The following is a 9,868-nucleotide window of genomic DNA, read 5'->3' on the forward strand; positions in this document are numbered from 1 at the left end:
GCCAGGTGTGGTGGTTCATGTCTGTAATCCCAGCACTTTGGGAGGCCAAGGCGAGCAGACACCTTGAGCTCAGGAGTTCAAGACCAGCCTGGGCAACATAGCAAAACCCTGTCTCTACAAAAAATACAGAAAATTAGCCAGGTGTGGTGGCACACGCCTTTGGTCTTAGCTACTTGGGAGGCTGAAGTGGGAGCATTGCTTGAGCCTGGGAGGTGGAAATTGCAGTGAGCCAAGATCACGCCACTGCACTCTAGCCTGGGTGACAGAGGGAGACTTTGTCTCAAAAAAAAAAAGAAAAAGAAAAAAAAAGAAAAGAAAATTCACCAAGATGAATGAGTTCTTTCTGTTGTAATACATTGTTCAAATAACATACTAATAATACAATATATTGAATTATTTTTAATATTAAAAATAAGATTTAGTAATAAGATTTTATCTTTTGAATCTTTCTGGAAGGTCTGCCATACTTATATATCTCTGGCAAGCAGACTAATTCTACAGAAGAAACTAGCTTTTGCTGTTTGCCCAGCCTCAGAATGTTAAAATGTGATTCTTCAGAATACATTATTTTTCTCCTATTCTTCCTTAAAATATAGTACAATGGAATTTTACAAATGAATTTAAGAGATTGATATGGAATACCCAACAATGTATGGAATGCAATAGATAACATGTTATATACAAGGGTAGTTTTGATTTATCAACTCTACTTTGAAATGTTGAAAGTTACAACATTCTAGAGTAACTATTATCTCTTTTCCCTAGTAATGTCATATTTTACTCCCAGTGATAAGAATGCAATATATTTTAATGAGCAAGAACTTAAAGTCTATTATGTTGAGTAACATGATAAATGAAGTTCACCATAATGCCTGTTTCTCCTATTTTTAGGATATTTGCTTAAGAGCAGGCTATGCATTAACACTTTTTGCCTTCAATAATCGCTTTCAACAATACTTAATATTGGAAAGTGGAATAATGACCATATCTATTTTTGAACGTTTTCTTGAATCAACAGTTGAAACTGAGAAGGCAATGGCAGCATTTCAGGTATAAAATTGAGATTAACACCTCAAATTAATAAATATGTCATTTTGTGAAAACTTGAAAATTACAACAATTTGGAGGCCCAGAAAAACGTTTACTTATTTGTAAAAACTTAGTACTTTGCACATAAGCCCCTTCTACCTCATAAAAACTCCATTATCTATGAGGATTTCTTCATTAATACAGAATTTTACAAGTTATAAGACACTTGCTTATGCCTTTATACCTCATCTGATGTTTATAACAAGCCTGTAAGGTTGACAATCAGGTAGTATTATTTTCATCACCCCCATATTAAAAGTAAATAGGTAGAAAAACATGTTAGCATCCAAGACAGGTTTTCTAACTGCAAATCTTTAGTTGATCACACTGATCCTTCAACCTAGTAACAACTGTATGTATCTGGGAAGTCTTATTCTCTCTCTTCATTTTCTATCCTGTGCCCTTTAAGAGAAGTAATTTCTATGAACCCATATTGAAAGGGTGCAAAAGTTGCAAACATTGTAGGAAGAATAATAGTACCCCCTATGATCACTGCTATGACCAGACAGGGACAAATACTCTAACTCTCCCCACCACCACATGCTGCTTCTATTGAATCCTCTAAACACTCCCTTTAAGAAGTATCAAAAGAATTAAAAAAAAAACATAAAAAATGACAAACGTGTAATTAGAGAAGCTGAGTAGAAAATGTTCAAAGACTCTCTGCTTCTTTTCTGTTTTCAGATTGTTGTACTGGCTAAAGTCATTAGAGATATGGACCATATTACTTTGTCTGCAAGAGGTGTTACTATTTTAGTTGATAGTCTGTATTCAGTTCAGACTTCTACTATTGTCTTGACAGGTAAGAAATGACTAGAAGTTAATTTTAGCCACATAAAACTATTTTCAAAAACAGTTTATTGTAATCTGAATAATAATAAAATAATACGCCTGATACACTGCCACAAGTTTAAAGAACGAACTTATGTTTATATCTACATGGAACTCCACAGCAAGTCTACACGAAACAATGGGTGTCTACTCTGTACCCCAAACAGAAGCTGAGTAACTCTGAATACAGACTTTTTGCTTTCCTAATTACTTTTTCAAACCCTTAACTTTTTTTTCCAAGATATAAATGAGAATTCACCTATGACCTACAAACAGCAAAATAAAAAAACTGATTTATAATAGTGGTGGCAGATTTACACAGATGTACCTCTGTCTGGTTTCCTTTTGTCCAGTTGTGCACATTTTGCTAACACTGAAAAGTTCTTTACATCGCTGTGCAACAAAGCAAAGCAAGATGGTCCCATAGCGTTCTCAACACATTTATTGCTATTGTATAACTGTGTCTACTGCAGACCTAACCCAACAGCTCACACATAATAGGTGATCAGTAATATTTAATTGACTTGTTATGCCACTCTTAAAGTAACATAAGGCAGGGTCAGAATGAGTAATATGCAGTGACTACTACCAATATAAACAAATAAGTATTTGTTTTTTAATTAAAATGTATCACTAAAGGAAACTTTACTTGATGCCATAGAATTACATGTTTATGAAGTATATGTGCATGGCAAGGAAGGAAAAATGAAGCAATGAAAACTTTCTGATGGAAACTAGCTAGAAAAAAAGTTTAAAGAAGTTATTAAATATGTTTTAATCTAAATAACATTATTAATTCAATGTTATAGTAATTCTGTGACTCTGAAAAACAACTGTAGTGGGTTTAGACTCCACAGTTTTTTTTTTTTTTGAGATGGAGTCTCACTCTATTGCCAGGCTGGAGTGCAGTGGTGCGATCTTAGCTCACTGTAACCTCCGCCTCCCAGGTTCAAGCGATTCTCCTGCCTCAGCCTCCCGAGTAGCTGGGACTACAAGCATGCACCACCAAGGCCAGCTAGTTTTTGTATTTTTAGTAGAGATGGGGTTTCACCATGTTGGCCAGGATGGTCTCGATCTCTTGACCTCATGATCCGCCCGCCTCGGCCTCTCAAAGTGCTGGGATTACAGGTATGAGCCACCACACCTGGCCTCCACAAACTCTTATAGGAAAGAAATGCCATATTACATTGGCTTTCAAATATTAAATTAATTCCTCCAGGATGAGGAGAAATGAATCTCAGAAATTACTGGACTTTCTCTGCACTCCACAACCAGTCATATGCATGTCCAGGGTATCTCAGGCAAAGCTTGATATTCAGGCCTCAGGTATAGTGTAAAATAACTGATGTGCTTGGTGTCAAGTTGACATGGTTTCCAGAAGATGCTCCAAAGGCACAGAAGTTTTTAGGAAACTGATTTCTGTTACCAAGAATTCAGTTTTCCTATTTATACCACTTAGCTATTCTCTACTCGGAGTTCCTCCTTCTACTCCTTTGAGAACTATAAACTTTAGTTCTCTTTCTTAGCTGCTCCCTTGGTCTGTTTCCATTTCTAACTTCCCATCTTTAAAGGGTCTTTTTAACTTTAAATAGAGCTTACCTTTAGACAATTTTTGCTTTAGATGATACAACCAATTTTCCCCATTCGGAGGCAATAAACACAAGGAATTTCTTGGCTTATAATAGAGGCCAGACAAAAATATAAGGAGAACAAAAACTCACGTCATATCTCAATAAAGTATCCACATACTCCACACAGAAATATGAAAATACATTTTTATCTTCAAACAAATATAAATGAAATAATATTCAGTTGCTAGCTGCACATTTAATTATTGGGACACTTTATTATTTTAAATCTGAAAACATTTACTTTTATGTAAAAACTTCAGTGATTTTTAAACCTCAATAAGCAATACATTGATTGATTTTAAAGTATTAATAAGGCTTAACTCAAAGCCATTTCAACCGCAAAAAGGACATATTAATTTTTTTTTTTTGAGACGGAGTTTCGCTCTTGTTGCCCAGGCTGTAGTGCAATGGCACGATCTCTGCTCACTGCAACCTCTGCCTCCCAGGTACAAGCGATTCTCCTGCCTCAGCCTCCCGAGTAGCTGGGATTACAGGCATGTACCACCACGCCCGGCTAATTTTTGTATTTTTAGTAGAGATGGGGTTTCTCCATGTTGGTCAGGCTGGTCACGAACTCCCGAAGTCAGGTGATCTGCCCACCTCGGTCTCCCAAAGGGCTGGAATTACAGGTGTGGGCCACCACGCCCGGCCTAAATTTTCTTATGATAATTAAATCATTATGTTCATAGTTATTTTTAAAACCCTAAAAACTTCAAAACAAAATATATTCTGAAGATATGGGAGAAAGAAAACCTCTAATTTTCAAATTTTTCACCCTTACATAAACCTATTTAATTTACACTATTTGTGACAGAAAACCAAACTGTAATTTTGGGGAGTTTATTCTATATTTACATATGCATGCTTTTTCTCAGTGCTGCTTCATTGACAGAGATGTCTTGTGACACAAACTTTTTTCAGTGCTATGTGCAATTAATGAAAGTATTATAAGTTTATATCAATTAAATAACACAAGCATTTTTCTTGTTTAATTTATAGGGAATTTAATAGCAAGCCTGGCTCATTCTAGAGCTGGTATCCCAGAAGCATTTACCACATTAGGAACAATCCAACGGCTCTGCTATCATTTGTACTCGGGAATAGAAGAGGTAAAAACAAGCAAAAACTAATTCTAAAATTAAATATGCTAAAAATATAATTTACCTCTCCCTCTGTGGACTAATTTTTCCACTGATTGACTGTGTTATAGATATAATATAATTCTTATTACTAACTCAAAATTACATGACTGTGTTATATATATAATATAGTTCTTGTTACTAACTCAAAATTACATGACTTTTCTAATACTAATTAGTCATACATATCTGCCATCCACAATTTTAATTCCTATAAAAATATACATTTGTTTTAACCCTAAGACTTAAAATTAGGATTTTAATCACAAAAGCAGTATAAAACGACTACAATTAAAGATTTAAAAAGAACTACCTGTTCAAATTAGTTTCTGATTTAAAAAACAAAAACAAAACCCTACAAAATAAGTCATCTTAATCCTGGAATTAAGAGTCAATCTATAAGTACGTTGATGACAAAGAAACTTATAATTGTTTACTAAGTATCTAATGAAAACCGGTGACTCTGATCTAAGTTATTTCTATGATTTGAAATGAATGAAAATGGAATTCATAGGATAGCTTTCCTTATGTGTCAAGCAGGGTTAGATGTAAGGGTGTGTGAAAGAGGCCGTGCTGGTCACAGCAGTGGCTTGCCTCTGAGTGTTCCCCTACTCTCTTCCACTAAGGTCTAAAGCAGTGTTACTCCACCTTTAGGGTATATCAGAATCACCTGGAGGGCCTGTTATATTGCTTGGCCCCATTCCTAGAGTTTCTGAGCCAATACATTTGAGGTGGGCCCTAGAATTTGCATTTCGAACAAGTTCCCAGCAGCTGAACTACAGGTCCAGGGTTCAAGGTTTAGAAGACATATGAGCATACAGAGCAACCGGATGCCAACATAAAGACCAATATGTTCATTCTATGAAACTTTTTATGCTACTATCATATTCCCTACAACTGGCCAGGAACATACTTTAATTAATCATATGACCAATCTATGGGTCATAGACAGAGGGTATTTTCTTCAAAGAACTATTTTTTCTAGAGTCCTGTGGCCTGACACTTGTGCTTCTTTCTGTTTTTGCCAGTGGAAAAGTGAGTTGCTCTTGTAACGTCTGAATGTTAAAAAAAAATTTTTTTAAAGTAATAAATAAATAAATAAGTTGCTTTCTCTAAGATTTCTGTTACCAAGAGTTCAGCTTTCCTATGTGTACCACTTAGCTATTCTCCAAAGTGTCTGTTCCTACTCCTTTGAGAATGATAAACAAAATAATTAAATAAGAGTTTCTAGGGATGGAACCCAGGCATAATTGTCAAAGTTATATGGGTGATGCTAATGCATTGTCAGGGTTGCATCCACTACCTTAGTTCAAACTCAAGTTCTTTCTTTGGTGGCACATTAGAATTACCTGACACACACACACACACACATTAGAATTACCTGACACACACACACACACACACACACACACTAGAATTACCTGACACACACACACACACACACACACACACACACACACACACACACACACACACACACACACACACACACACACACACCCCTGAAAGGATTCTGATTTAGTTGGTGGGCTTTTTTTTTTTTAAACACTCCAGGTGGTTCTAAAATGCAGTTAAGACTGAGAACAACCACTAGAAATCAATGGCAGTTGACAGCTCTCTGTAAAAATATGGCAGTTAAGCTTCCGTCTATACACTGCCATTTGTTTGCATACATATTTGCTTACACTTGCTCCCTCCCTTACAGAGACTTTCCTATGAAATAGCTAATTAGAACATTAAGATATTTTAAGAACAAAGCCCACTGGTTAAGAAAGAATTGTTTCTTCATTTAGGTTCGTGCAGCTTGTTCCTCTGCTCTTGGCTACTTAACATACAATGCAAATGCTTTCCGCATCCTATTAAAAGAATGCAGGAATAAACCTAATCAGTTCATTCGTATAAAAAATAATATCAGCAGAGATGCAAGTATTAACCCAGCATTTTTAAAGGAATTTCAAATGCAACAAACACTGGTGGGACTTCCTTCCTTAAGGTATGGTCCTATGTTAGAAGTTGCAGTAGTGAAATCATCGATAGAGGAGACTTTAATGAGGTTTAGTAAGATCCAACAAGAGGAACTATTCTTGATATGAACATATCTCCTGTATAGCAGAGGATAAACTTTATTCTAAATGACCACTGCCACAACCTGTTTTAATTCCAACTCAGCACCAGAGTTGTGGGTGCAGACAAGAACACATCTAGATCTTAGAGATCCTCTCTGGCCAGGATTATTCACATTTTAGAAAGTTTTGGGGAGACTGGTTACCACAACATCTGATTCAAGAAGTCACTTTTTAGCAGACTAGGGATACATTTGAGAGTTCTGAGACAAGACCACCACCTGACCTTAGCATCAAATGGGTTTTCCGGACCAGATCCAAAGCTAGGCCAAATTCCCAGGGTGGAAACAGGGCTAAATTAGACTTAGTGGTTAGTTACAGTGAAGTTTGCCAGGTATTCAGAGGATTTTGACTCAATGTTGTGGTTTCATCACAAACTTAACTCCCCCCAAAAAGGGAGGAGAAGAGAATCTCTACTATGGGTATATTTTCTCTTCTGTAAATGTAGCTGAATTACAAGTCTTCTCTCCAAGTAGTGATATTCATACATAGGAAATAGAACTACTCAAGATACGTTAACTCTATGATAACGGAAGAGAATAGGATCCAATAGTGCATCCGAATAGGACCCATGTACAAACATAGATTCTACATCAATTTTAAGTACAGAGAATGATGAGTACATCTTTGGAGCCACTTTAATTCTTTGAAAAGCCGAAAGTCTAAAATGGGTGACCTAATTTTATAAGCCAGGGAAGCTAAATTGTAACATTATAATTGATAATTCTAAATAATTTTCATTGGTTCAAGGAATTAAGATAAATAATGTAAGTAGTATTTTACACAGTCACTCCCACAGCTAGCCCATGTGACGACTTTGTAGGAATTAGAAAAATATACCCCTTTCTCAGACCTATCTTCTTCAAAACCCAGCTGAAGTGTCTCTTCTGTAACACCTTCCCTCATCACTTCAAGCAGATTTAATGTTCCAAATGTTTGGAGTAAATAAGTGAGTAAATGAGTGACTGAATATAAAATACTTACAGATAACATGCAGAGTTAGTGGAGGTAACATGTATGAATTAGGCCATTAGGCATTAAACCTGGTACTGTAAGTCTTCATATACTTCTTCATATATTTTTTCTGGGTGCATTATGTCTTCATTTATTTTAATGACAAAAATGTTTTCCTTTTAGTCTGGAGAAGAATGGAGGACCATCCATAATTCCTATCTTTAAAAGAGGTAATTGATTTTTCTTTTATCTATGAAGTACCTTCTAGCCCAGACACTTTATAATTCTGTATTCCATCTCTAAAAATTCAAAATGTAGGCCGGGCACAGTGGCTCATGCCTGTAATCCCAGCACTTTGGGAGGCCGAGGTGGGCAGATCACTTGAGGTCAGGAGTTCAACATCAGCCTAGCCAATATGGTGAAACCCCATCTCTACTACTACTACTACTACTACTACTACTACTACTACTAATAATACAAAAATTAGCCAGGCATGGTGGCGCGTGCCTGTAATCCCAGCTACTTGGGAGGCTGAGGCAGGAGAATCGCTTGAACCTGGGAGGCAGAGGCTGCAGTCAGCTGAGATCGCACCACTGCACTCTGGCCTGGGTGACAGAGTGAGACTCTGTCTCAAAAAAAAAAGTAGAGGGTACCCCCACAAAAAAGTTTACCTGCATACTTCTCTTTTGTAATTCTGTCTACCTAAAATATCTTCCTAATTACAAGCCCATATTGATCATTTTCTGTAAGGCCTTCCCTATTATATCACTTGAAAGTGACTCCTGTCTTATTTTGCTTTTCTCAAACCATGCATAGAAGTAAGTCATTATTTAAACAACCTGTAAATATGACTTTGCTGTTTTATATCTGAAACAACTTACCTATCTGAATTCTCAGGGCAGAGACCACATTTTTTCCATTGATACTCTATATAGTTTTGTACATAGTTGGTACATTACACTTGAATGGACTAGATCTGCAGAGATCAGAGTCCAGATCTCATATTATTTATCCCTTCCTATTAGATATGTAATAGGGAATATAAATTACTTGTTAATTTCACATATCTGCTTAGTGCTTGTTCGTGTAGGACCAAAATCAGTCTTGATACGTTGTCCTATCACGAAAATCAAGGATAGAAACATTCAGAAGTCAAGATCAGTTTGCTAGAGTCACAAACAGAAAGGAAGAGAATTTAAAAAGACAGTAAAAGGAGAGGAAACAATTTCATGTATTCAGCCAGTATATGAGGGAAGCTAGGTATGTGGGGAGGCTATATAGAAATATATATAGAATATCATGGGTAGAAAAGCATCCATTTTTTATATAGCTTCTTGAATGTTAGAGTAATTTACATAAAAGAATAGTCAGTTCACTCTTCACTTTAACACTGGTTTCTAAACAACAACCTGTTTATCAGTCATGATCTGATGAAGTTTTCACAGGTTTGTAGTAACATAAGAAAAAATAAGGGCAAGGTAGCACGTTTCTGATAAAATTAATTTCATTCAATATCAAGTCCATCATTTTGAGATAATGCCTTTTACACTTTTTTTAGTATTAAAATATTCTTTATTTTACATAATGATATTTAAAGTAGTATTCGTTCTCTTATTGGTGCTAACTTGACATAACAAGCTAGCAAACCATATAGTGGTCCCCACAAATTTTTGGCCCCTGACATCTAAATGTCTGGAAGTACTGATCTGTTCTCTTAGTATGTTTTAGTTATGTAAAGAAAATAGAACTACATAGAAGTAGAAGTAATGAGACTATACCTAGGGCTCTCAGGAGAGACATTTAATTGTGGCTAATTTTTAGGGAAGGAGCACCGAAGAAAATTAAAACCTAAAATTCAACCAAAAGATTCTTTGACTTTATTACCTCCTGTAACTAACTTCATGGGACTCTTCAAAGCAACAAAAAAGACCAAGGATTCCCATAATATTTTTTCTTTTTCATCTACAATTACATCAGATATCACAAATGTATCAAGACCAAGAATAGTGTGTTTGAACCAACTTGGGAAACATGTCCAGAAAGCCAACCCAGAGCCTGCAGAAGGCTAATAAAACATTTTAGAATGAAAGGATTCCTGAGC

The 9,868-nt window shown here is 35.9% G+C and overlaps 1 protein-coding gene across 20 annotated transcripts in view; it reads left to right on the plus strand.

Annotated features, from left to right (window-relative positions):
- The window catches only part of ANKAR (ankyrin and armadillo repeat containing), an 88,390-nt gene that overhangs the window by 62,122 nt on the left and 16,400 nt on the right, over nt 1–9,868 (plus strand). For 7 of the 20 annotated variants that reach the window (XM_011510673.3, XM_011510679.3, XM_011510675.3 and 4 more), the window contains 6 exons: nt 892–1,050; nt 1,774–1,891; nt 4,551–4,660; nt 6,484–6,683; nt 7,951–7,997; nt 9,589–9,859. In XM_011510673.3, the coding sequence (XP_011508975.1) occupies nt 892–1,050; nt 1,774–1,891; nt 4,551–4,660; nt 6,484–6,683; nt 7,951–7,997; nt 9,589–9,836 (882 nt within the window). In that variant the 3' untranslated portion in view covers nt 9,837–9,859. Of the gene's footprint in view, nt 1–891; nt 1,051–1,773; nt 1,892–4,550; nt 4,711–6,483; nt 6,684–7,950; nt 7,998–9,588; nt 9,860–9,868 lie in introns of those variants that run through there. The other 13 variants (XM_011510681.2, XM_011510682.3, XM_017003413.2 and 10 more) reach the window with 9 other exon arrangements.

Source organism: Homo sapiens, chromosome 2 (assembly GCF_000001405.40).
Source record: "Homo sapiens chromosome 2, GRCh38.p14 Primary Assembly".
In the NCBI taxonomy this organism is placed as follows: Eukaryota; Metazoa; Chordata; class Mammalia; order Primates; family Hominidae; genus Homo; species Homo sapiens.